This window comes from Homo sapiens, chromosome 3, assembly GCF_000001405.40.
Source record: "Homo sapiens chromosome 3, GRCh38.p14 Primary Assembly".
NCBI lineage: Eukaryota > Metazoa > Chordata > Mammalia > Primates > Hominidae > Homo > Homo sapiens.
The window spans coordinates 126,339,848-126,366,023 of NC_000003.12; the positions used below are offsets into that span (position 1 = coordinate 126,339,848).

At 55.9% G+C, this 26,176-nt stretch overlaps 1 protein-coding gene across 5 annotated transcripts in view, besides 8 other annotated features; it reads right to left on the bottom strand.

Moving 5' to 3' along the window:
• Positions 1 to 17,561, bottom strand: part of KLF15 (KLF transcription factor 15) — a 69,284-nt gene extending 51,723 nt beyond the window's left edge. For 3 of the 5 annotated variants that reach the window (XR_001740124.3, XR_924449.3, XR_002959509.2), the window contains exons 1-2: positions 17,228 to 17,336; positions 11,994 to 13,100 (exon numbers count right to left, since the gene is read on the bottom strand). Coding sequence is in view for 2 of the 5 variants with exons in the window: in XM_011512743.3 (XP_011511045.1) it covers positions 3,880 to 4,048; positions 11,994 to 13,100; positions 17,228 to 17,259 (1,308 nt within the window). In the remaining 3 variants the exon portion in view is untranslated. Of the gene's footprint in view, positions 1 to 2,787; positions 4,049 to 11,993; positions 13,101 to 17,227 lie in introns of those variants that run through there. The other 2 variants (NM_014079.4, XM_011512743.3) reach the window with 2 other exon arrangements.
• Positions 1,523 to 2,284: an enhancer, noted in NCBI's record as "H3K4me1 hESC enhancer chr3:126060213-126060974 (GRCh37/hg19 assembly coordinates)". NCBI's record gives its function as "activates a minimal SCP1, AML or CMV promoter by ChIP-STARR-seq in naive H9 embryonic stem cells {active_cell/tissue: H9 hESC(naive)}" and the evidence as "EXISTENCE:reporter gene assay evidence [ECO:0000049][PMID:30033119]".
• Positions 3,817 to 4,500: an enhancer, noted in NCBI's record as "H3K27ac-H3K4me1 hESC enhancer chr3:126062507-126063190 (GRCh37/hg19 assembly coordinates)". NCBI's record gives its function as "activates a minimal SCP1, AML or CMV promoter by ChIP-STARR-seq in naive H9 embryonic stem cells {active_cell/tissue: H9 hESC(naive)}" and the evidence as "EXISTENCE:reporter gene assay evidence [ECO:0000049][PMID:30033119]".
• Positions 16,103 to 16,862: an enhancer, noted in NCBI's record as "H3K27ac-H3K4me1 hESC enhancer chr3:126074793-126075552 (GRCh37/hg19 assembly coordinates)". NCBI's record gives its function as "activates a minimal SCP1, AML or CMV promoter by ChIP-STARR-seq in naive H9 embryonic stem cells {active_cell/tissue: H9 hESC(naive)}" and the evidence as "EXISTENCE:reporter gene assay evidence [ECO:0000049][PMID:30033119]".
• Positions 16,863 to 17,622: an enhancer, noted in NCBI's record as "H3K27ac-H3K4me1 hESC enhancer chr3:126075553-126076312 (GRCh37/hg19 assembly coordinates)". NCBI's record gives its function as "activates a minimal SCP1, AML or CMV promoter by ChIP-STARR-seq in naive H9 embryonic stem cells {active_cell/tissue: H9 hESC(naive)}" and the evidence as "EXISTENCE:reporter gene assay evidence [ECO:0000049][PMID:30033119]".
• Positions 16,863 to 17,740: a biological region, named in NCBI's record as "H3K27ac-H3K4me1 hESC enhancer GRCh37_chr3:126075553-126076312".
• Positions 17,521 to 17,740: a silencer, noted in NCBI's record as "silent region_14675". NCBI's record gives its function as "represses an Ori minimal core promoter by ATAC-STARR-seq in GM12878 lymphoblastoid cells {active_cell/tissue: GM12878}" and the evidence as "EXISTENCE:reporter gene assay evidence [ECO:0000049][PMID:35858748]".
• Positions 22,527 to 23,028: an enhancer, noted in NCBI's record as "NANOG hESC enhancer chr3:126081217-126081718 (GRCh37/hg19 assembly coordinates)". NCBI's record gives its function as "activates a minimal SCP1, AML or CMV promoter by ChIP-STARR-seq in naive H9 embryonic stem cells {active_cell/tissue: H9 hESC(naive)}" and the evidence as "EXISTENCE:reporter gene assay evidence [ECO:0000049][PMID:30033119]".
• Positions 25,091 to 25,160: a silencer, noted in NCBI's record as "silent region_14676". NCBI's record gives its function as "represses an Ori minimal core promoter by ATAC-STARR-seq in GM12878 lymphoblastoid cells {active_cell/tissue: GM12878}" and the evidence as "EXISTENCE:reporter gene assay evidence [ECO:0000049][PMID:35858748]".

The following is a 26,176-nucleotide window of genomic DNA, read 5'->3' on the forward strand; positions in this document are numbered from 1 at the left end:
TTTGCTGTCTGCAGGAGTCAAGATTGTCATTTGCAGCCTTGGTTTCCCAACCAAGGCATCTTGGCTCCTACGTAGGGCCTTTTGGCTCCTCTGTTCCCACAGAGTTTCCCTTCTTAATAATCTGCTGCCCCAGAAGTCTGGCTGCTGATCCCACACTTATCAGTGATGCCCTTTCTGAGAATGTGGACGAGGCCATGGGGAGCTGAACTCACCTGGCACCACCAGACTTAGCCATGCTGCCAGCTCGTGGGAAGGGGGACCCACTGTGGGCACAGCTGGGACAAAACAATGTGCTTACAATGGAAACTCCTGGCTGCCCTCTGCTCCTACCTCCTTGCCTTCTCCTGCAACATGTGCCCCACATTCCAGCTGTGCTCATGCTGCCCAGATGACGACTGCATTTTCCAGCCTCCCTGGCAGTGGATGAGGCTGAGTTACTGAGTTCCGGCCAACAGAATGGGAGTGGAAGTGAGTGTGCAAATCCCAGGAGGGCAGGGCAGAAACATGGCCCCTTGCCTGCTTCTCCCAGCTGGCCCAGTCCTGTGGAGCCAAGGGGCATTGGAGGAGCAACAAGAGCGAAGGAGGCTGGGTGCCCTGTACTCAGTCTGCTGTGCCAGCCCAGGCTGCTCCCTCTGAGACCATCTAAGCAGAGGAAAATAAACTGCTATGTTGTTTAAGCCACAAAGTTTGGGGATTTCTTTGTTATAGTAGCCTAACTCATACTCTACCTAGTACAGTGATCAGTAGATGGTACTTCCTTCCTCTCTGTGTGCCTTAGGGGCAGGCGGGTGGGTGGCACCATTATGGCTGGAGTTCCTGCTCTGCAGCCTTCCAGCTTCCACCTCTATTCCTCACCGTGGTGAGTCCAGGGCCCATCTCCACCTGCTTTTTCAGCTTGCAGGTCAACACAGCACTCCCCTTCCAGCCACAGAAATCACAGACGGTCAGAAAGGTGGTGGCATGGGGGTCTCTGAGGCAGGAGCCAGGCCAGGCACTGTAACAGACTCTCAACCCCCACCAGGGCCAAGGCAATGCTGACATTGGGGCTGCAGCAGGAACCTGGGGGTGCCACACAGCTGGGCTCTGCATCCTGGGCTCTGCATCCAGAGTCACTTACCACGTGCCACCACGCTGTTGCCCGGGGCCTTTCACACTGCTCTGCAGGGCGAAGGAGCTGAAATCTAGAGAGGTCTAGGACACACATAAAGAGCTGGAGCCCAGGATCAACAGGCAGTGCGGCCCCATTATCCCTGTTCCCTGCACTGTGCTGTACTCTCCACGACTCAGCCAAGACCTCCAGGAGGCACACTCATCCCGGGGAGGTGCACCATATGTGTGCACGTACACACAATTCAGGTGCAAGCCTGGAAGCCCAGACTGAGGAGACCACTAAGACCACCCCTTACACACACTCCCTGCCACAAGACAACAGCAGGATGTTGGGACACACACCCAGGGGAGGTGAGCAGCGTGTCCGGCCGGTCCTTGGCACAGAAGGTGCATATGCTCCCGAGGTTATTCCACGTCCCATGTCATCATCCTGACCAGACAACAATCCTCCCTGTCCCTCTGACGTACCTCTTATCTAGGGCTGAACTGCTTGTTTATGGATGAAGAAAGCCCATGTTAACAAGGCTGGAAATCAATGCCTTGCTTCCCTAGAGTGTGTTTGCCCACAGAGGGTACATCCGGTCAGGGGCAAAGGACAGAGGTCACTAGGCCCAGCCTCCTCCTCGGGACCATGGCCAGTCAGGATAGGATGTCCATCCTCCTATCAGCTGTGCTGTGTGCTGGGCGGCTGGTGAGAACAACGGCCTCTGCCCTCTGAGATGCACGACCTCACACAGACCCCCACATTCAGACATCTCTCTGCTGGGAGCCCATGGGTGCCCTACCCCCAGCCTCCAGATCTCCAAGGTTTTCACCGAGAAACACTTGACCCGACTTGCATCCAGTTCTTATAAAGCAAAGGATCCTTCTAGAAGGTTCTTGCTTCCCACTGCACATGACTGGGTGAACCAGGGCAGCCCTCTCTGTGTGTGTGTGCTTCATACCAGCTGAGCCACTGAAGCAGGCCCTGGTCAGCCTCCATTTCCTTGCCATTCCCTGTGGGGCTCATAGCCCCTCCTTGTGCTTGGGCCCCCACTTCCCCCAGGCTCCAGCCAGCACAGGACGTGTGGATGGGTCCAACCTCAACTGTGCAACCACACAGCGAAGACCCCAGGCATGTTGGGGAGTTAGGGACGATGGAGGACAGGACGTAACTGCATATACTGGCCTCTCCGAGTCTCACCTCTGCCTGCTCAGGATTCCTAACACTTTCACAATTACCCACGCCAGTAGGAAATGGCACAGCCACGTTCCTAAGGGGGTAAATACTCTGCCAAGGCACAGCAAACATATAGGGCATGTGTAATAGGTTTGGTGGACTGGATGGGGGTAGGAAGTGCAAGAAAGGGTCTCCGATAGCAGAGTAGGTGAGCCTCGCAGGACTGGCCAGGCCTGAGGCAGCTTCCCACAGGTGCTGTCGGAATGTGGGCTGGATTTGGGTTTACGGAGCTCCAGGTCAGGGAGCCGGGATGAGCAGAATCTCAGCAGCTGGCCTGGAGCTGAGCTGTATGGGAACCCTACCCTGCTGGACCGGGGCTGGACCCCAAGGGGCCTTTCTATCCCTCCAAATACAAAACAGAGTTCCCTGAACTCTGCGAAGGTGGAGACATAGACTCGGCCCCAGAGTCACCTCCACATCCCGGCAAAGCAGGAAAACAGCACATGAATGCCAAAAGCTGTGAGTTCTTTTTCTTTTTATTGGCAAAGTAAATATATTTTTATGAAGGACCAAAGAAAATATACGTAATTGTAACATATGTACACCAGCTTCATAGATTTTTTTAAATTTCAAATTTACACAAATGTTGATATGTTATTAAAAGATATTTTATGTGGATGGACCTATGTACAGTTTATTTACATACATTCATAGGATGTGAAATAAACCTGTCAAAACAAGCTAGTTCATTTATTAATTTCTAGACAAAATAAGGAATGCATTTCTAAATCAGGGTTGGGAGGCTCTATCTAGTTCTCTCACACCCAGGACAGCCTGGCCCTCTCCTCCCAAGGCCACCCTAAAGGCTGGTGTCTGGATTTGTCTGGGAAACCGGAGGAGGGGACGAGCCCCTGGGTACAGGCCCTTCTGGCTCTGTCTGCCCTGCACATTTAACTCAAGCACATGCACTGCCAGCCCCCTAGTGGGGGACGCTTTTCACCTCTCTCCCACATGAGGGCCCAGCGGCCCGGTCCTGCCCCCCCCCCCCCCCCCCCCCCCCCCCGGCTCCAGGGACCTGCCCACACCCTCTGGTGATCATGCTGAGCAGGCATCTTAGACAAAGCCACCCTCACACCACAGTGCAGCCCTGGACTTCTGGCCTACTTCCTTCTCCTCCAGCATGACTCTCTCTGGAAACCCAACATTTCAAAACTGCACATTTCATCTTCCCCTAGCACTAAAGTTCTGGCCTTGGCCCAGGATGGGGGAGCCCAGTGGGAGAAGGGCCAGGTCCCCAAAACTCTGCCTGCAACCAGCGGCTGCAGCAGAGGCCTGGCCACCGCGGGAAGGCACGAAGGCACGAAGGCACGAAGGCCTGCCTCCAGCCCCGTGCGCCTGGGGCCCAGCCCCCAGGGACGCGGGTTCGAGGCTCTAAGTACTCCCGAGAAAGGCAGCGGTTGGCGGGCCCTGGGTTCACACCTCCCAGGCTTCAGAAGGTGGGCTGGTAACATTGCCATGTCCCTCTGGAGGAGGCAAATAAATTATTGCTTAAAAAAATGGGGATGGGGTGGGGATCCGGGGTGACGGACAGGCTGGGGTTCAGGGCGCTTTCAGTTCACGGAGCGCACGGAGCGGCTGCTCCGCGGGAAGCGGTGCACCTTGATGTGCTTGGAGAGGTGGTCGCTCCGCGCGAACTTCTTCTCGCACACAGGACACTGGTACGGCTTCACACCTGAGTGCGAGCGCCTGTGCCGCGACAGCTCGTCAGAGCGCGAGAACCTGCGGGACATGGCGCGGTCAGCGAGGCCTGGCCCTGCCTGCCCCTGCCTGCCCCGACCCCACGAAGTTGCCGGGATGCAAGGCGTGCACCTGGCACTCACCCAAAGGGTGGCTGCGCAGACCTGCAGCCTCTACAGGATTAGGGGAGGGTCCCCCATCTACGTCGGTAAGGCTATACCAGTTCTCAAAATACCATTTTTTTTTCTTTTTTTGAGACAGGCTGGAGTGCAGTGGCGCCATCACAGCTCACTGCAGCCTCCCGGGCTCAATCAATCCTCCTTAGCCTCCAGAGTAGCTAGGATTACAGGTGTGCCCACCACACCCAGATAGTTTTTGTATTTTTTTTTAGAGACCAGGCCTCCCTATGTTGCCCAGGCTGGTGTCAAACTCCTGGGCTCAAGCGATCAGGCTACTTCAGCTTCCCAAAGTGCTGGGATTAAAGGCGTGAGCCACTGTGCCAAGCTGCCCCTGCCACCCCTCCAAGATGGAAAGAACTACAGTAAAGGCTCATGCTGGCACAGTGGGCATTCTCTGTTGGGAACTGCCAGAGCAGCTGGTAAAAGCTCCCAACAGGAAAGGACCCCAATGCTACCAGGGACCAGGGCTTCCCTCCCACAGCCCACCCAGTGTGCAGGGGTCTCTGAGGCCACAGGTGCACTCAGTCGCTCAGGCCCTGATGCTGGCTGCCTCTCACCACCCTGGCCTCATCTACCCCACTGGACCAGAACTCCACAGGGGCATCTGTGAAGGCCTGTACAGGACCGCCCATCCGGAGGGGAAACGGAGGCCTGGGAGGAGGAAGCAGCACAGGGAGAGAGGTCCTCAGACTTGAGTCCACCCACTCCTGAAACCAGCTGTGCTGGAAGCTGGGCCCTCTAAGGCAGGCCCAAATAAAGATTGACCCTGCAAAGTGTATCTGGGAGTTCAGGTGGCTCCCGACATTTCGCTTTCTTGGCCCTGCTGGCCTGGGAGCAGGCACTCATGTGACAGTCAAGAGCCCAAGCTGCATCGAGGGCCTGGACTGCTTGCCACCAACCTCAGGGATTTGAGGCCCTCTCCACCCCTGGCTTGGCAGCAGGTCCCTCCCACCCCACCTACCCCTCCCACGACACACTATCCCGCTCTGTGCTCCACCTGCATTGACCTTTCCTTGGTCCTTCTTGCCACAGGCCATTTGCACATACTGTTCCCTCTTTCTAGAATGTTCTTCCCTCCCCCTCCTTGCTCTCTCCTACCCATTCCTTAGAGCTCAGCTCGAATGTCACTTCCTTAGGAAATCCCTCCAGGACTGCATCCAATTCTAGGCTCCTGTGGCATTACACACCTCTCTCTCCTCATTCTTGCTGTTGTTTTGATTTTAAATTATCTTCAACTTTTTGATGACTGTCAGTCTGTCCCACTAGACTGTCAGCTCCATGACAAAGGACATGTTTGTCTTGGTTCCCGGTGGTCTTCCCATGACCAGCCCAATGCCTGGTATATGGTAGGTGCTGAGGAGGTGGATTTCAATGCAAGAGTGGGCACAGCAAGCAGCCCTAGGGGGGCAGACACTGTCAAGGAGCAGTCCCAAAGCATGCACGCACACACACACGGACAAATACATGCCCACACATACAGGCACACAAACATACACGGACGAATATGTGCCCACACATACTCACACACACACACACACAGGCACAAATTCATGCCCCCATGTACTCACGCACACACACACACACAGGGACACGAGGCCCAACACCCCTTTGTGGACCAGGGCCACCCAGCGAGAGGCGGTGCCCAGAGCAGCAGTTCCCACCCAGCAATTGGTAAGGGCTGGTGATGCCCTGGCGCCCTGACCCTGTGGGTGGAAGAGCAGAAGGACCCAGCAGAACATGCTCTGGACAAGGCACAGGGGGTGGCAGGAGGGCCTGCAGGAGGAGACAGGAACTCCGACTCACATCACAGAGTGGTGGTGGCACCAGGCACAGGGCAGTGCTTTCAGCACATCTCCAGACTAGGTGAAGCCCAACTGCCCTGCCTGTCAGAGGAGGAAACTGAAGCTCAGGGTGCTGAGGGCCTGGTCCAGGTCACTGACAAGACAGGGCCCCTGAGGCTGGAGCAGAGGTCTTGACACAGCCCCCTGCCCTGGCAATGGCAGATGACCTGGACTCCCAGTCAGCAGAGCCCCCCAGCCTCCTGTACAGGCCTGGATGGGTGTGTGTGTCACAGGGCCCTGTGCCAGTGAGGAAATGGGATAAATGTGCCCTGGCAGTCAAAGCTGACACCTGTGCTCCTGGGCAGGACACCTGCCCCCAGCTGCAGCTGGGCACACAGCTTCTGAGCAGAGGAGCTGGCCCAGGGCAGGGGTAAGCAGAAAGCTGCAGACACAGAGTGCCACGCCTCCCAGGCTGCAGCCCTGGGGTCACCCAGCATCTCACTGGCCAGGGAACCAGGATGAGCCAGCCCCATTGGACTGGCAAGACCATGGCAAGGGTTTAAAGAGGCCAAGTCACACAGCCCAGGGGACAGAGTCTCAGGCTCCTGCCTTGACAGTTCCCACCCCACTGGGTGCCCTGAATGGTCCTTTCTGGGCCTCAATTTCTTCATTCATCCAATGAAGACTCTGGCATTCCTGCCCACCTTCCAAGACTCATCTCAAAGGCCACAGGTGGTGACGTGGGGCCACACAGATCTCTGGTCATGGTGACACCCTGGGAAGGACAGGCAGATGAGATAGAACCAAGCTGGACAACATGCTGTCCTCACCTGAATTCCCTCCCTGCTGCCACAGGGTCCTGGCACCTGAGAGGAACTTCCCTGGGAACTGAGCCCTCAGAAGACCCCCTGCCTCACCCCTGCATGCCACATTCTCCCAAACAGCAGCCAACAGAGAGCCCTGGGGACTACAGTGGGGGATGTGGGAACCCGGTGGGTAAGATGCAGCCCTTGTAGGCAGTAAGCTCTGCCACTTACCAACCAGGCAAACTAGGAAAGTCACCAAGCTCCCTGAGCCTCAGTTTCTCTACCCAGACAAAGGGAGAACAAAAGACCTATTCCTGAGGACTGTGAGGATTGTACAAGGCAACCAGTAACGGTTTAGAGCCCTGCTTAGCACGTGGCAATTATTCAAGAATGATGAGCTCTTATCACCTGCATGGAGTTGAGTGTTGGGCCTGGTTCCTGGTGGGTCCTGCTGCAGACAGGGCAGCACTATGATTTGTGCTGAGCTGTAGGGCAGAGGGTACACAGGGGTCCAGTGTCTCTCTAGAGCAGCTATAATGTCAGGGCTGGTGCATACAGCACTTCTGTATGAAGGCGTCCCTTCCTTGAGACACTAACCCTCATCCGCCAGACAACACCGCAAACAGTCCAGTCTCAGAAACTGCAATGGAAATGGTGCTCCCTAGAGTTGTGCAGTTCACAACCTGCCCAACCATACTGGGGGCCTCTGCCTACAGAGGGAAGGAGGTCAGAAAAAGCCTCAATGCAGAGGGGTCATGAGAGCAGGCTGGGAGCCAGACCCCTAAGTTTGAATCCTGCACCTACCACCTCTTGGCTCTGACGCTCAAGAGGAGCCTGGAACTCCCCTTCTCTGTCCCCCACCACATCCACTGTGGACGACAAAAGTACCCACCCTACAGGCTGATGACAGTTATTCATATTCATATTCACTGCAGCAGAAGGGATTCTTTCTGGATGGAATGGCTTGGCCATTCTGGAACAGGACGTTCTGCTGCAAGGAACAAAGGATGCCTATGTCTGACAGTGAGGCAAGGAAACTTCTAGGAAGGCAGGCAAGCAGCACTTCCCAGACGGCTGGATCAGAACAGGGAAAGCCTGCTCTCAGCCCTGTTGAGGGTGCCAAAATCATGTCACCAGAGAAGGGACAGGGAGTACTCTTAGGACCAAAAGCAGAAGGAAGTGGAGGCTGAGTACCTGGGCAGGTGACGACCTCAGCAGTGGAGGGAGGGCACTGTCCATTACACAGAGGTATGAGGGGCCTGAGGGGCCCTGGCTTGTTCTCCGAGCACAGGACATGGTACTAGGCCAGAGCCAGCCTGGGCAGAAAGAGCATCCCATTCATCTAGGCCACCAGGAAGAAGAGACGCGGCCTGGGAGTGGAGAGCTCCCCCACGGGGAGTAGGTGAGTGTGTAGAGCTGCCACCCCAAAGACCAGGCTGAGCTGCAGATGGAGGTGGAGGTTCCCAACACCAGAGTTAGCACCCAACACCGGGGTGCAGAGGGAGGTCCCTGATTCTGGGCAGACAGCCTCAGCTGAACTCCTGGCTCTGGGGCTTACTGGCTGGCTGACTGGAGAATTTACCTAACTCTTCTGTGCTTTAATTCTCTCCTCTGTGAAATAGGGACAACATGCTGATGCCTACTAATTTTGAGAATTACGTAAATTAATATGTGTGAATTTTGCTCAGAGCAGTGCCAAGTATGCATTAGAGGCCCTGGTTATTATCTCGATTGTGGTCGTTAGCTCTTTTCCCATAGCCCAGAAGCATAATGCCTTTTGGGCCGACCTCTTGGTGGGAGACTGGAGGCACACATGGCGACTCTGATACCAGCTAGGACCACCAGGTGGCCAGAGCAGGGCTCTGCTAGGGCTTAGTCATGCAACCCAGATCCTTGCTCACTAGCTATGTCCCTGTGGGCATGTGACGTGAGCAGTCTGTGCCTCAGTTTCCCTCTCTGTAAAATGAAGATTGGTGCCTACACTTTACCAGGCAGTTACAAGGACCTGATGAGCTAATGCGAAAACCTTAAGCTGTCACTACAGCCTCAAGGGCAGGGGTCATTTGAGACAGAGGGCACAGAGAGGGCGGATGCCCACGCGGGAGCCTGAGCCACAGCAGGGAGGCCAGCGTGGCTGGATCCCACTCAGTAAGGGGAAGAGACAGGTAAGCACATTGTGTGGGTCTATGGGCCAGAACGAGAAGCTTGAATAGAAACTGAAGCACAGCAAAGTACACTTAAAGGCCTCAGAAGGTAATGAGCTCCCCATGGCAGGAAGTATGCAAGTTACAATAGTGGGCGGAGGGGATTCCAGCTCTGAGAAACTTAGAATAGTGCCCAGCATACAGTGAGTGGTCAGTAAATACGCCATCTCACCATCATCATCGTTACCCTTCCAGTCCTGTCCAGACCCAGCTGCCCCAAAGCGGGGTCCATCCTCCCTCCTGACTGCTGTAAGGAGCTGCAGGGGCTCCCTCTCAGTTGAAGACTATCACCACATTAAGAGACACAAGCAGACTGGGCACATCCCCAGGGTTTCAAGATCCCTGAAAGCCAGCTGAGGACTCCCCGCATCCTCAGAAAAGCAGCCCTCCCTAGAGGCCGGTGTCCTCAGCTCCCAGCCGAACAGCGCCTCTGCCATGAGTTACCCCACCAGGGCCAGACCCACTCCAGGGGACCTTGGGGGAAGCTGGAGGAGCCCTCAGGAAGCCCGGGGCATGGCTGGCAGCAGGGACAGCTCCTGGGGGCAGTGCCACTGTGATCTCACTGGGCCAGGCAACCACTACACCTTCTCTTGCCAAGTGGGTCCTGGGCAGCACGACCAGTGCCAGGGCTCAGATGTGTCAGAGCTGAATCCCCTCCACAGGTCCCCACTCTCTCATGTACACCCCCTGCCATGAGGAACTCATTACCTCCTGAGGCCACTGTATAGAGAACTAAGATCTGCCTCACTGAGATACACTTTGGGCTGAGGGGCCTATCAGCTCTCTGGCCCTAAGATATCCAGGAAGAAGGCTGGCCTTGGATGAGGACCACACCTGCCCTCCCCATCACCCTACCCAGCCTCACGGCATCTAGAGGAGCTACTTGCCAACGGTCGACTATGGCCAGGAGACGGCGCTGAAACCTGAGCCCGACTAAGGAGTCCAGACTGGTGCTTGGAGGGAGGTTTCCCTGCCTCTCTGCAGCCCCTGCCCGCCCTCACCAAGAGGAGAGTGCATACAGGGTCCCTGGGAGTAGGGGGTCCCTTCACAATAGGCACCACCCTCTTGGGGGCTGGAGAGAATGCCTTCAGGGTTCCTCCTCAGAAACTGCCGTGTATGAGTTTGTATCCTTATGATGTACAAACAACAAGGAGGCCGCTGTGGAGCCCTGCACGCCTGCCCTGGGCTGCAAAGGGCTAGCCCTCCACTCTGCAGACAGGAAACTGAGGTTTGGAGGGGGACCACCCCAAAGGCACATGACAAGTTAGTGGCTGACCCAGGCGTAGGCTCAAGACCACAGCCCCCACATACCTGTGCCCTCGCCTTCTCTGCACAAGTTTCCTGCTTCAATCAAGAGCACTCCTGGCCCTTCTCTCGGCTCCTCTAACCTCCTATGCAGTGTACTTGCTGCTGTGTCCTCCTCTCACAAGCAACCTGTCAGCCATGCACCCACTCGGCAGGCCTAGGTACAAAGCTCAGAGAGGTGGGGACTCCAGGATGGAGACCTTGTGAGGCCCCAGGGTGGGCTCTCACAGAAGCCTCTCCGGTCTGTCTGAATGGGGTGGGAGACAGGACAGAGTGATGTCCTCACTCAGGAGGGGCCTCCATAAACCTAGACACTGTTCAGGAAAATTCCCTTCTCTGGCCAGATTGGCACTCAATGGAAAGGTGGCACCAGTGCCACAACATACATTCCACTCACAGCTCCCTGACCACAGCTCAGCCTCACTGGCCAGAACCTCTGCCCCAGACAACTCTCAAGAGCTCTCAGAACCAGAGTATGGTCAAGAAAACAAAAGCTGCAAACTGCTCCCCGGGTGTTGCACCCACACATAACACATGCACACACAGGCAGCCACACATGGTGCACAAACACCTAAGACATGTATGTGTGCAAACACATATGGTCACACGGCACAGACAGACACAAAGAAAGCAAGATGCATACACATGTGGGTGTGCACACACACAGCCACACACCTGCTGGCGAGGCCCAGGCCTGTATACACCCCCAGGGATACAGATGAGTGTGCCCCGTCTCACACACGTAGCAGCAGCCACAGCAGCAAAGATTTGGAATGTGCCAACAGCACACAGCGCCCCCCAGGCAGGCCAGAGATTCCTTTGGGATGGGCATCAGGAACTGCAGAGGGCTGGCTCTGGCACCCCGGAGCACATGAGCTCTTCGCAAGCAGCCTACATTTCAGGAAAAGGTGGACAGCCACTCCCAAGGAGGTTGAGCAGCACCCGGTGCTCAGGGAAGGGTGCTCCCTGGTTGGGAGACTACCAGTTACCATTTGAGGCCTGATTTCCCCACTGCCATGCAGACCAGACAGCCTGGGTTCTGCCACCTGTGACAGCACCACCAGCTGGCCTAGCCTCCCTCTGGGTTGGCCTTTGCAGCCTCCCAAACATGCTTCCACGTCCCCAGGGAGGAAGCATAGGCGAGGCCCAGCCCATGTGTCCAGAGACATCTGTGAATGAAGCTAGTCCCACTGGTTGGGGAAGCAGCATTTTCAGGATGTGACCTCTCGAATCCGGCCTCTGGGTTCAAATCCCATTCACAAAGCAGAGTGACCTTGGGCAAGTACCTGGCCAGTCGGAGCCCTAGTGTCCTGTGATGTAAGTTGGGAGTGATGGTGGTACTTACCCTGTGGGGCTGTGGGCCCAAAGGGAGCCGCTGCCTGGCCCCTAGACCGCACTCATCCTTCCTCGCCAGCCCCTCAATCCCCACCCTTGTCAGACTGGATGGGGAGACCCAGCTGGCAGCACAGGCCAGTGAAGCCTTACCTGGCCATCAGGAAACTGGACACCAGTTGGCTTCCGGCTTCAGGAACCAGGAGGACCAAGGAAGCCTCCAGGCAACTGTGCCAGCTCTGGGCCTGCACCCGCCTGCCCCTCCCTCCCCTCCCTCATCTACCTTCTGTTAATGGTGGAAAATGGCCCTGCTGCACACCCAAGTAAGCAGACATGAGTGGCTGTGCTCACTGCCCAGGCCTGTCACTCGCTATACTGACCTCCAGCCGCAGCCTGGCCAGGTGCAGGCGAAGGGCTTCTCACCCGTGTGCCGGCGCAGGTGGGCCTTGAGGTGGCTGCTTTTGGTGTACATCTTGCTGCAGCCAGGGAAAGTACATTTGTGCATTTTGATGAGTTCTGCGGCTGGGTTCTTGGGGAACTTCTGGCCCATGAGGAGACCGGCAGGGCCAGGCCCCAGGGGTCCCGATCCAACAGGCTTGGCGGCAATGGGCACAGGGGCAATGCGCACAAACTTGGAGGGCAGGTTCAAGTTGGAGGAGGGTACCACCTGGGGCACGAGTGCGAAGGTCTGCCCCTGGATGTTGACCAGGAGCTGGGCAACCTTGACATTCTCTGGGGCTTGCCCAGGGGAGGCAGGCCCTGTGCCCGATTCCTGCTTCACAGGCACGGGCTGGATCTGCAGCAACACTGGGATGGGGCCATCAGGCGTGGGGCCCCCACCTGGGCCCTGGGCACCTCCTGCACTGGCACCACCTGGTGGAGGGGAACAGCGCTCTCTCCCGCTGGACCCAGGATGGAGGTGGCTCTTGTGTGGCCCAGCTGAGAGCTGGCTGCAGGCATCCAAGTCCTTGCTGTTGCCCTCAGGGACCTCCTTGACTCCAGGCTCCATGTTCTCCTCCAGAAACTCTTCAATCTCCTCCAGGGTAGGCTGGAAGGGCCGTGGGACGTCATCAGGATCACCCAAAGGAAACTCGGGCAAGCAGAAATGCTCCCCCTTCACAGGGGCCGCTGCCCTTCGCCAGGGCCCCCAGGCCACGGGGCCACTGCTGGCCCCAATGCTACTGCCGCTGCCCCCGCCACTGCCCAGCGTGGCCTGGGACAATAGGAAGTCCAAGATGCTGTCCTGGCTCTCGGTGCCCAGGCCTCCACCATAGCAGGAGCAGAGGGCTTGAGAGTCGGGACTGGAACAGGAGCAGGGGCTGGAGGCATCGCTGTCATCTTCAGAGACGGGTGAGGGCAGCATGTGATATGCCCGCCGGCCAACCAGCCTATCACCCAGATACCCAACTGGGCATTTTGGCGACGAGAAGTTCTCGTCCACTGGAAGTAAGTGGTCCACCATGCTGGCCTGGCCGTGCCGGTGGCGGCTGCAGGAAAGGAACACAGGAGGCCTGGTCAGAAGGACAGTGCTCACCTGCCACCTCGCAGGCCTCTGACCCCACCCTCAGCTGCCTGCCCACAGCCTCCTATTGCCAAACGCCTGGATCCTGCTTCCATCCCCCAGGAGAGCTGTGCCTGCAAGAGTGTTTTCTGAAATTGCACCACCTGTTTGCAAAAGAGACCTCTCCAAGCCCATTGCATAACCAGGGGCACTTCTGGTTTCAAACAGATTTTCCAGAATTATCCTGGAAAATAGCACATATGTCTGTGAACAACTGAGTATGGGTGAGTATGAGAGAAGGGCATGCGCGAGGAGGCTCTCTGGACCCCAGGAGGGCCAAAGCCCTGAATCAGCCCACCGTCAACATCATAGGAGTCACTGTACATCTGAGGACTCCTGACCTCAGCTTCACGCCTGTTGAGTCACAGAATGGGGGTAGAACAGCCATTTGCCCTCTGACCCTCATGTTGCTGAGGCTTCCAGAGGGTTGCCAGATTACGCAAATAAAAATACAAGCCAACAGTTACATTCGAATTTCAGATTTAAAAAATAAACTATTTTTAATATAAGTATGTTCCCAATATTGGATAGGACACACTTACATTTAAAAATTATTTCACCTGAGATTCAAATTTAACTAGGCCGCCTGCATTTTAACTGGGCAAGTGTAGCATGTAGGCAAAACAGTCAAAGACCAAAAAGTGCCTGCCTGCGCAGCTGTTTCCCCACCTAAAGCTCCTCCACTCTCCAGTCCTCAAACCCCTCTGAGCCTTGACTGCCCTGTGAGTGGCACAGGCTTGAACGCAACCCTCTCACCTGCACCCTGATGCTTGAGCATCCTGGTGGCCAAGGCCCTGCCCCTCTGGTGATAATCCGTGGAGTGGAAGCAGACCACTGGGGTCCCAGAGCACCCGCATGTGCCTAACTGCCTTGGACTTCACACCCATCTAGTGGGAAAGGAGACAACCACCCCCCCAGCCCATCCTGACCAATAAGGAAGTGGAGTCCCCTGCACTCTCTGCCATTGCTCTCTCCATCTGGGACACTCACCGCCTTGCGAAGGTTCAGCTAATGCCTGTCTCCCCCTGAGACAGTGCACTCCATGTCTCTGCTGCGTCCCCAGTGCCTGGACTGGCCGCTGGTGCCCAGCAGGGGCTCAGAGAACTTTGATAGAGAGGAGAAGGGAAAGCTGCATCCTCTGAAGCCAAGGACATGCTAGGTCTGGTGCCAAGGAGAGTCAATAGTGTCCAGCTGTGACGGGGCCACCTCTGTGAACCTTTGTCCCTGCTCAGTGACCAGGGCAGGCTGGGTGTTTATCAAGCTTGGGGAAGGGGAATGCTCTGCACCAAAGTCAGAGGTTCTCTGCTGCCCAGCATCACCTCTACACCCAGCCCCTCTGTCTCCAGGACCCCTTCAGGGCCTGGCACCCGGCACTGCCCAATGGCCAATACCATCATCAGCTACAACCTTGAGCAAGTCCTTGCTCCCCTTCCCAAACCTTAGTTTCCTCATCTGTTCCATGCTTCAAAGATCTCTAAGTCTCTTCCTGCTCAGGGACCCCAGGACCTTTAGCCCCAGTTCCCAACTTACCCAGGAAGCTTCACGGAGCTCCAGGAAACTAAGGCAAGGTCTGTGCCCCAGGCCAGTTTTACTAGGAGGACATTTGGCTTTTTGGTTTAAATACTCAGCTAAGGATTTAAACCTGGAATATGTTTTAAAATGCACCTATTCACCAAATCAGGTGCTGGGAAGGAATGAAAGTGCTAGACACTGTGAAGGGCACAAGGCTGGGCAGAGCCCACACTCCACCCTGGGCCTCCCCCAACCCTTTCCCACCCTCCAAGCAGGGGCTCCATTTCTGAGTCTGCAAGTTGTCTGCCAGGTGACCTCAGGCAGGTGCACAGCCTTTCTGTGTCTGTCTCAGTCTGTGAGATGGGGGTGCTTCCAACAGTGCCTGGTTCCTCAGGTGTTGTGAGAATTCCGTGAGCTGACGCTCACTAAGCACCCCCCTCAGGATCTGGCACACCGGCAGCACTCAGCCAGTGCCAGCCATTGGTGTCAGCCTGCAGGCACGGCAAACGTTCGGCCTCTGCCCCTCTACTGTGATGTTAAGGAATCAGGGGCCTCCAGCCCTCCTGGGACCCAGAGCAGGCCTTAGAGCCCTCCCCTGAAACGTGATCACTAACTGGCCATCCCATGATATTAAGTAATTACTGTTAATATTTTTAATTGTGATGATCATATTGTGGTTAAAGGAGGCCTTACCTTTTAAACATATAAACAGATATTGACAGATAAAGTGATCTAAAAAGTACAGTAGGGGGGCTGGAAGGAAACACCCTCCAATGGCTTCCCAAGGACAGGTGGCCCTATCTCCTCGCAGCAGCCCAGCACCTGGGCCCTTGGGACTCTCTGCAGACCTCACCACCAACTGCCTCTCTTCTAGTCCAGGTGTGCTCACTTCACTTCAGCCTCAGCCCGGGGCCACTGCCCTGGCTCTTCCCCCAGCACTGCAGGTGGGAGCTGCTTAGTTAGATCTCGGCTCAGAAGTCACCCCTGTGGGGGCCTCCAGGCCCACTCTGTTACATCATCCTATATTATACTCTTCCCTGCAGTTTCTACTGTGGGAAACTATCTTGGTGATGTGTTTGTGAACTTTCCTCCCTGTCTACCTTCCCATCAGAATATCAGCTGTCCTGACTGTTCACTCCAAGGCCATATCCCAGAGTCTAAAACAGGACCGGGCAAAATTTGCTGAATGAGTGAATGGAAGGTGCGGGGGAGAGCGGGGGAGGTCGGAGAGTAGGAATGGGTGGCCCAGGTCAGCCAACAGGGTCTTAATGCTGGGCTGAACGTCCCAAGGGGGAAGCACCCAGGCACTGACAACCCAGAAAGGGCTCTGGGATGTCCCAGGGCACCGGCATTAAAGAGAGGACACTCTAGGGCTGGAGCTGGCTCGGCCCCTGAAACACAGCAGCACGTGGGGCGGCCAGAGGCGCAGGCTGCGTGCAGGGGGAGGGGACACGCTGTTCCGGGCACAGTCCCCGGCTGGCCGCCGGACTCCGCCCCCTCCCCTGGCCCGGCCAGGCCTGCTGTTTATCCTCCCGGGGACACAGCGGCTGCAGGAACAACATGTAATTGATAACAAGCCCAGCGCCGGCCAAGGGCTTGCCATTGGGTCAGCGTGCAAATCACGGGGGTGGCGGCGGGGGCTGTCCTTCAAAATAAGAGTCTCCGGTCCCTGAGCCGCCCGCAGGCCCCAAAGTCGCAGAGTCCGGGCGTCCTCACACCTGTAGGGCGGCAGGGTCTCCCCAGGGGCCACCTGGTCCGGGGGGACAGGGGGAAGGAGATTTGAGGCTCTCAAACAATTGTTGATTTTGTCACCTCCGAGGGCCGTGGGAGAAAACAGCCCCTCTGTGCCCTCCGTGAGAGGGGGGTTCCATGAGTAACACCAAGGCGGGGAGGGAAGAGTGAACCGGACCACCATATGGGATGGGGACGGCCTCTCTGCCCCGCCGCCGCCATCCCTCGGTCAGGCCATGGCTTTGGTAATGTTCGGTCTGAGCGGACGGGGACTCAGCGTGGAGTGAGACGCGTGAACGGTGCGGGTGTGCGTGAAGGGGTGTGAGTTCCTGTCGTGTGACTGCGTGTGCGGGGCGTGGTGCGCGGCAGCCGCTGTGGCTGTGCGGGAGGCTGTCCGCGAAGGACTCGCGCGTGGAGCCGCCGTGGGTGCCGGCGGGTGAGGGGAAACGTGCGTGGGAAATGAAGAGAGCCGGCTCAGACCCCTTCTAGAGTCCTGGACCGCTGCCCGCTGGGCACCATGCCCTCGTCCCACGCCCCCCCCTTGCCCCCGACACTGCTGCGGTGACCGACAGTAACCCCTCCGTCTCCAGCCCCTCCGCCCCCCAACCCCGGGCTGGCCAGCGCGTCCGCTCTCCCCCTCCTCTCACCAGGCCGCGCCGGTGCCCACCATATGGGAGGGCCGGCCCGCAAGGCGCGCCACGGAATCGCCCGGCCAGGCACCGAGGCGGCGGCGCGGGCCTCAGCAAAGTGCTGGTGGGCGACCGGGGCGGGGGGGGTCACCTCCCCCGGGCCAGTCCGACCCCTGCCCACCTCCGCGGGGGCCCATCCCGCTCCTCCGACATTCCTCCAGCACTCGCGCGGTGCCTCCGAGAGCTGCGCGGGAGCACGGCCACGCGCCCCGAGGCCGGCCAGCCCTCTGATCACCCGGGGCCGCGTCCACGCGGCCGGCCGGCCCCGCCGCGCCTCTCCCACCTGAACTTGGCGCACGCCGGACCGGCGGCCAGGCCCCGGCGGTCCTGCGGCCGGGCGGGCTGGGCTGGGGGCGGCGGCTAGACTCTCGGTCCGGCGGCGGCCGGGGGCCGAGCCGCGGGTCCTGCGCTGGCTCGATCGCCCGCCGGCCCGCGGGTCGCTGCGGCGGAGCACTAGCCCGCCCGCAGCTCGCTGGGCACTCACTCCCCGCCGCTCACGTGACGCAGCGGGCGCCGCGAAGGCTCGCAGGAGGCTCGGCCCCGGGCGCGCGCCCCATTGGCCCGCGCTGCGCGTCACACGTCCCGCCCCGCCCTGGCCCCGCCCTGGCCCCGCCCCGGCCCGCCCGCGCGGCTCCCGGACTTGAGCGGCGGATGCTCGGGGATCCCGGAGCTGCCAGACGCGCACGCCCCCCAACACGCTGCCTGGTCCCTGGCCCGCAGCCACCTCCTTGCTTCCCACCTCTCGCCGCTGTCTCGCGGCGTCCACGAGGGCCGGCTTCTAAAGCTCGGTTCCCAAGGTGAGAACGTGAGACTGGCCTGAAGACTTAAGAAAAGCTCTGAGATCGCCCCAAAGTGCAGTCTGCGTGATTGAGCGGGAAGCGCTGGGGAGCCTGTCTGGCCCGGTCTGGCCCACGTCCCCACCTTCATCCCCAGCGCGGTACAAGCAGCTCTGTCCCCCGCTGAGTGTCAGATAAATCACTTGCCTAGAAGGACGTATTTTTGGATAAATACGGTATTGGGCTTTCAGCAGGACAATCAGTTACCCTCCGGAAATTGCGCGCGCTCTGCGCTGCCACCCTGCCCTCCAGGACTAAGGAGGTTTGCTGACCGGCCCCCCCCCCCCCCACCTGAAACCAATGACACCTTGTCTCTGGGGCACCTTTCTGAAGACCAAACAATGCTTCGCAGTCTACAAAAGCGTTCGTAGACTGCTTTAGTCCGCAGCAATCCTGGCTCGCATTTGGGTTCCCGCTTAGAGACAGGAAGAGTAAGGCTCAGAGTGGCTTGCCCAAGAAAAACACGTGGGCTGACGGTGCTAGGCACCCTGCTGTGCCCTTTAATCCACACTCCAGCTGGATCCTCAGCCAAGCACTTTACAGATGAAGAAACCGACTCAGAGAGGGCACCAGCCCTCCCCAGCCCCACAGCTGGGAAGGAGCAGGTAGAGAGGTAGAGCCAGGTCATCTTGCAGACACCCCCAGGCCACCTGTGCAGAGCTGTCCTACTGAGCTTCCTTCCTCTCCCCTCCTGGCACTGGGAGGTGGGGAGCATTTTCTCCTGCTTCTTCTTGAAGACATTGCTAGAACAGGAATTTTTAACCATACCCTTTCCAGGCTCTCTGGAATGCTATAGGTCTAGGCTTGCTTGACCAGGGATCTGGGGACACTGTGCACCAGGTCAGTGCCAGGGATTCAGCTGCTGCTGCCACTAGGAGCCAAACCAATGCGTTGCCAGAGGGCTTTAAGGACATTTGTGTTGAGGATGGTGAGAGGCTTTCTAGTTCACAGAAGTTGGAATGACCACTCTGGCATTACAGCAGCCCTGGCTAGCCTGGGCAGAACAGTGGAATTTGTCCATTTTCATAAGAGAAGAGATAGAGGCCTGTATTCCTCATTTTGTCTCAGTGCAGGTCTGGATTGGGCATAGCCACAGCACTTCTCCATCTGCCCTGCCCGCCCTCGGTCTTCACTCCTCACATACTCTCAGTCTAGTGCCTCCCATCTCCTTGGTGAAAGCTGCAGCAAAAGGTCAGAAAAAGCTTGGAAGCAAAGACACATCGTTAGCACCTTCAGCACACAGGGAGGAGGCCCCACTGGCTAGAAACTGGAGAACAGCCAAGATGGTCCTGTTAAAACCTGAGTCAGATCAGGTCCCTTCTGGGTTCAGAAGCTTCCAGCAGCTCCCAACTCACTCAGAGTAAGTAAAGCCCAAGTTTTCACCACAATCTTTAATGCCCTACAGCTAGGTACAGCATTTACCCCAAACCATATCTAAGGAGAAAAGCTCCCTCAATATAGTGGGGAGAATCTATCATTGAGATTCCTTGGCAGAAAGGAGAGAACAAAGTCAGGTGGTGCTCTTCAAAACAGATGACCAAAAACAGTAAAGATTTATCTTCATAGCAGTGAAAATCTCTAAGTTTCTTTTCTTCCAAAGCAATTCCTTCCCTACTTCTACATAATCAAGTATAGAAAAGGGCCTTGGAAGGATATAAATTATATTGGTTAAATATTGTATGACCTTGCCTATAAAACCATTTGGGCCTGGTGCCTTTTTGGAGTGATCTTTCTCCATGCTTGAATTTCACACATTTTACCAGGATATGTCTGACTCTAGCCTCCTTCTGTTTTCATTGTTACTACTCTATGCTTGGTGTATCCTTTTAATCTGGAAACTCAAGTCTTTCTTCGTTCAGGGAAACGTTCTTCTATTGTCTCTTGTTTCCCCCTAAACAGCTGCATGGATTGCTCCATCGCATACTCAGGTCTCTGCTCAGATGCCACCTTATCCCAGACACCTTCCTCACCCATCCCGTCTAAAACAGCACATCTGCTGCCCTCAGTTTCCTGGCCTCTGTTTATTTTGCTTCATGATCCTGATCTTTATATTATTTATTGATTTGTTTCTTGCCTGTCTCTCCTATCAGGAGACAAGCTCCTTAAGAGCATGGACTTGTATTTTTTTATTCACTGCTGTATCCCCAGAACCTAGAACACTTCTGAAACATGTTGAGGAAATGAGATTTTCTTCTTGCCCCAGTAAAGCTGCCAATGGATATGGGATCTTTGGAGAAGCTCTTCAAGGTCTGGTGCTCTCTTCCACAGTACTGTAGCCACCAATCTTGTCCTCATCCCCTGTTCCACACACATACCTGAGACTTCCAGCCTCCCCACTAGCTCATGCCTGCCCGGGGGTCTGAGCCCAGCCTGCCCTCTTCCAGGAAGCATTTTGAGGGCCCCATTCAGTGGCTCAATGGTCTGTGCACAAAGGGCCCACTGTGGCCATCAAGCCCTGTGACCTCCCACAGTGACTGACTTCTCCTCACCCTTCCCAGGTGGGAAGCAACAATTCCCCCTACTCTCAGCTCCCCTGTCCCCAGCCATGCTTCAAGGGTCTCTGGCCAGAGTCCCTTACCTTCTCACCACCTCTTCCTCTAAGGGCTGGGGTGCTGAAGAGATCCTACCCATTCTGGGCTCAGGAAGTGGTTTTGAGCTGGAGGCTAGGGAATAGGCAGGCAGAAGGGCTGCTGGTGCCCAGGGGCCAGGAAAAACATGCTGCAGGAGGTTCCTCAGGCTGGGCTGGACCGTTTCCCCACCAAGCAGACCCCTGGTGCTGTGTAGACAAGAGGTCAGGTCTGTTCTGACACCAGGCGACTCAGATGAGGGCCCACTCCTCTCTCATGACCAGTGTTGTCCCCACCCCCAGCCCCCCAGCCCTGAGCACACCTAGCTTTGAGGAACATCAGCCCAGGGACCTGGGGACCTGGTGGTCCAAGAAGACACAGAGAAGGGCTGAGTCCTGAGAGCCTCTGCCCTGAGAGCCTCTGCCCCTGGCTCTGAGCATTGGCAAAGCCCCAGGTATACCCCTGCCCGGAGGATCCAGAAGCAGCAGGGGCTGAGGTGGGATGAGAGCTCCAGCTTCCCCTGGTCCATGGACACATCAGTGTGGTGCTGGGGTCAGAGGGCTCCTCAGCTTCCCCTCATCCCCGTCTCTGCCATGAGTTGTGGTCTCTCTGACACCTGACAGATTTCCAGGCAGGCAGGCAGCCTGAACCCCAGCCTAGTGGGGCTGTACATGCGTGGCAGCCTGGACTCTGGTTCTTTCACACAGTCCCTCACTGCTGAGTGGCCTTGGGCAAATCAGTTTGTCTCTCAGAGCCTCAGTTTCCTCATCTATAAAATGGGTGCTCAGACCCCTATCCTACTTACCTCAAAAGGTTGTTTGAAGATAACCAAAGTAAGAGATGGGAAAAGGCATTGGAAAGTACAGAGATTCATTACAGGCTGTTACCATTCCTTCTGATATGTATTCACTGCTCCTGGACAGCCGTCCTGCCAGTGCCGAGCATTGCTGCGGAGATGAGATGCCACTCACACTGCCAGGGCCTCCTGAGATCCCAGTGCAGTGTAGGGGGCCCAGCAGGATGACGGTGGTGCAGGTGATAAGGACGAGTGTGAAGGGGGCTATGGACGCCACCCTGGGGAGACGCACTGGGAGCAGCAAGGAGCAGCACCAAGGAGCAGGAAGAGACCACAGAGCAGGGCAGGTTAGCTCTAGGGAATGGGAGTGGCCGCCACTCCAGGCTCTCTCATGGAAGGGTGTACCAAGCCCGGCAAAAGCTAGAAGCCAGGGAAACAGTGGCCACCTTGTCAATAGGATGAAAGCCATGGGATTCTCTGTCCCCTGTTGGTTCAATTTCAAGCCTCCCAGACTGGTGTTCAGGCCATTCATTTAAGTAATTCTTTTAAAAATAACACCTGCACACATTTTTAAAGTTCAAGCACTACAGAAAGGCATGAAACAAAAAGTAAAAATTCTACTCAGCGCCAGTGCCACCTACCAGTTCTGTTTGTTGTTGTTGTTGTTCTAAATAATGTTCTGGGCTGGGGACCGTGACTCACGCCTATAATCCTAGGACTTTGGGAGGTCGAGGCGGGCGGATTGCTTGAGTCCAGGAGTTCCAGACCAGTCTAGACAACAGGGCAGTTTCGCCTGTCTCTACAAATATACAAAAATTAGCCAGGCATGGTGGTGTGTGCCTGTAGTTAGTCCCAGCTACTTGGGAGGCTGAGGTGGGAAAATTGCTTGAGCCTAGGAGGTGGAGGCTGCAGTGAGCCAAGATTGCACACTGCGCTCTAGCCTGGGCAACAGAACAAGACCCTGTCTCAATAAATAAATAAATAAATAAATAAATAAATAAATAAATAAATAAAAATATGCCTGTGTCTTTTGTGTCTGTACAACAAGTGTATGGCCCCACCCTGCCTGCCAAATAGTGTCTGTGCCCCCAGAGGCATGGCTGCATAGACTGTGAATAGGTAGCTTTGGTCTCTGAATGAGTTTGGCCCGTGGGAGGCACTGACAAGCTACTGGAGTGTGGGCAGGATGTGAGGTTCAATGTGTTCCACTGCCTGGCCCCCCCATGTGTCACCATTACTGGCTGTGTCCCTCTACCCATGGCCATGGCTCTATCAGGCAGCCTCTCCTAGAGATCTCTCCAGGTTTAGGTAACCCTTCCCCAAACCCTTAAGTCCCTTAACCCCTCACCCTGCCCATGTGTCTGTAAATCTCTCCTGCATTCAAGTCCCCTTGATCGCCCTGTGGCAGTGTCCATGTGCCCTGCTGGGACTGGACCAGCATGCATTAGCATTGCTGCTATTCAGTCTCTTTGTCATACTTCAAGATGCAAATCACCTTTCTTTTCTAATTTGAACTGGTGTTTTCTAAACCTTTTGAAAATCCGCCCTCAGATTTCCTTTCATAATACCACTATTTTTATGGTTATAATTGATTATGATTATGATTGAGTTTCCTTCTTATTTTATTTGGAGTACATCATCAAGTAAGTTTTTTCAGTAAAGGTGCTTGGAAGATAACCTTTCTGAGACTTACCATGTCTAAAAACATCTTTAATTTGCTGTCACACTTTATTGATAGTTATGGAATTCTAGATTCAAAATGATTTCTGCTCAGAACTTGAAGGTATTGCTCCACTGTCATCTGGCATCCAGTGTTGCTATGAGATGTTTGATACCAACTGGAATTTTATTCCTTTGTAGGTGCTATGGTCTGAATATTTGTGTCCCCCCAAAATTCACATGTTGAAATCCTAACCCCCAAGGTGATGGTATTAGAAAGTAGGACCTTTGAGAGGTGATGAGGTCACATGGTAGAGCCCTCCTGAGCGGATTCATGCCCTTATAAAGGAGGCCCCAGATAACCCCTCCTCCCTCCCACCATGTGAGGACACAGCGAGAAGACGCTGTCTTAGTCCATTTGCATTGCTATAAAGGAATACCGGAGACTGGGTAAATGATAAAGAAAAGCGGTGTATTTGGCCCACAGTTCTGCAGGCTGTACAGGAAGCATGGCACCTGTACAGGAAGCATGGCACCTGTACAGCAAATGCATGTACAGGAAGCATTTGCTCCTGGTGAGGGCTCAGAAAGCTTCCACTTATGGTGGAGGTGAAGGAGAATCATTATGTGGAGGTGAAGGAGAATCATTATGTGCAGAGGTCACACTGTGAGAGAGAAAGCGAGGTTGAGGGGAGGTGCCAGGCTCTTTTTGACAACCAGGTCTCTAGGGAGCTCACAGTGTGAGAATTCACCCCCTTTCTCCCCGGAGGGCACTAATCTATTCACGAGGAAACCACCTCCTTGACCCAGACACGTCCCACCAGGCTCCACCTCCCCATTTCCACACGAGCTTGGGAGGGTCAAACATCCATCTATGGCAGGCATCATCTGTGAGCCCGAGGGTGAGCCCTCACTAGGCTGAATCTGCCTGCTCCTTGATCTTGGACTTCCTGGACTCCAGAACTGATAGAAATACATTTCTGTTGTTTATAAACTACCCAGTTTACGGTAGTTTTGTTATCTCAGCCTCAGTGGACTAAGACAGAGGCTACCTGTTTTTTTTCTCTAAGAAGCTTTTGGGATCTTCTCTTTATCCTTGATTATCTGAAATTTTATGGTGACTTACCTGGTGTTGGCTTCATTTATTCATTCTTCTTCTATTTGGTCAGCATGTGAAGAAGACTTCATGCTTTTATTTAGCTCTGAAAAAATTTTATATTACTTTTTTTTGTTGTTTTTTCTTCCATTCTCATTCCCCAGTCCCCCGTGCTCTGAGGCCACCTCACTGGTGCTTCATCCTCTTGAGCACTGTTGTCCACAGGTCCAGTGGAGCTTCCTCAGGGTCCTGTGGCCCAGGCGCTCCCCACCTTGGCCACCTGTAACTTCTAACGGCCCTCCCAAGCAGTGGCCTGCCGCAGGGCCCTCCATTCCCAGGACTCCACTGAGCTCTGAGTGAGCCATGAAGTGTGCTGGGCACATGCTGCTCCCTCCCCTAGACCATGAGCACCATGGCAGTGGGAACCAGGCCTGCATCATCTGCAGATCCCCTGCCGCCAGCACAAGGCCAGGCCCCCAGCACAGACACGCTGTCTGAGTGTCCAGTCCAGAGCAGATACACAGCAGATGTGTGTTTGGGTGTGCCGCTCTCAGGCACCTCCTAGCCTCTGGCCAGCCTTCCTCGTTCTGACCTTAGCCTCCCTCCTGCTCCTTCAAGAATCCTGTTTGCTGCGGCTCCTATTCCAAGGCCACTCTCCAGCCCCAGGCTCAGAGACAACCATCCCTAGTTCAAGCACACTTCAGTTGAAACCAGTCCAACCCACATTTGTCTAAGGGGAAATGGAGTTGATAGGCTGAAGTAAGCGGAGCCTCCAATGTGGGCTCCAGGCCCAGCTGATGCCAGGGCCTCTGCTGCTGGGGGGACCCTGATCCTTGGCTTCTTGGTCTCACTTCCCTCCACATGGGCCTGTCTCAGCAGCTCCAGGCTGCACTGCTTGATGCTGATGGGCCCAGCAGGGGCCCTGGCTGGCTGCTGGCTGGTCCTGCTAGTGTCACAAGCTCATCTCTGACCCATTTGCTGTGGCCAGGGGCAGGTGGGCCACTGACAGCCAGGCCTGGGCCAGCCCTGGAAAGGGAGAAGAGTTGACCTTGCTGAATCTCATGAACAGAGTGGGGAGGGAAGTCCCCAGCACAAAACCAGAGTGTTGTCATTGTTACCAGAAGGGCACAGGAGGATACTGGTGAGCATGCAGCCCGCCCCACCTCTGCCTGCAGAGGAGGAAGCAGAGGGCGGAGCAGCTCACCCAAAGCAGTGCTGGGTCCTCAGCAGAGCAGAATTCACACCCAAGTTTCCTCGCTTACAGCCACGCTGGTTCAGGGCTGGGCCTCTGAGGAGGATCCCAGGCAGTGGAGGAGTGGGTCCCTGTGGGCGGGACTCAAGGTCTGGGGCTGTGATTCAGGCTGGTCTTCCAAGAGAGGCAGAGGTTTGGGAAGAAGGCAGTGTCTAGACCACCCTGGTGGAGCCAGCTCAGGATGGAGATGGCAGCAAGTGGCATAGGAATTCCTTCCACCACTGACACCCTCAGTCTGGGGAGGGGCTTCGGTCTGGCAGAGCTTCCCAAAGCCTTGGCCTCACATCTTTGCCTCTGCCTTTAATTGCCCCATCCTCACCACAAATCACCCTGTCTGGGGCAACCTTCCTTGGAGGCTTCTCCAGCTCTTTGGTTAGTGGCAGCATATGCAGTACACTTCACAGCTAACAAAGCCCTTTGCAGAGGCCTCCTGAGCCCTCAGCATGTGCTGAGAGGCCGCAGTCTGTTCCCCGCTCTGTAGATGAGGACATGCTGCTCAGAGACCAGCAAAGCTCCAGAGCTGCGCCGAACACTTGCCTCTCAGAACCGTGTTGGCCATGTCCCAGTTTCCCTGAGCTGTGACTGAGCCCATGGCAGGGTCCATGACACCCCCACCTAGGCTGGTGTGAATGAGGTGCTGGGCTTTGCAAGGCAGGCTAAAGCTCTGCCAGCACTGTGAGTGCTGACCAGCCAGGCCCTGCTGTTTGTTGGCAGCAAAAACTACTCCCAATCCGGAAAATGGCAAGGTAGTGGGAATTTGGGAGAATCTGCTACCTCCTCTATAGAGAAGGCTTTAAGACCCCAGGAAGGGGGAGGAGGTAGAGAGGGACCCAATACAAGGTGGGAAGTGCGAGCCTGCAGGAA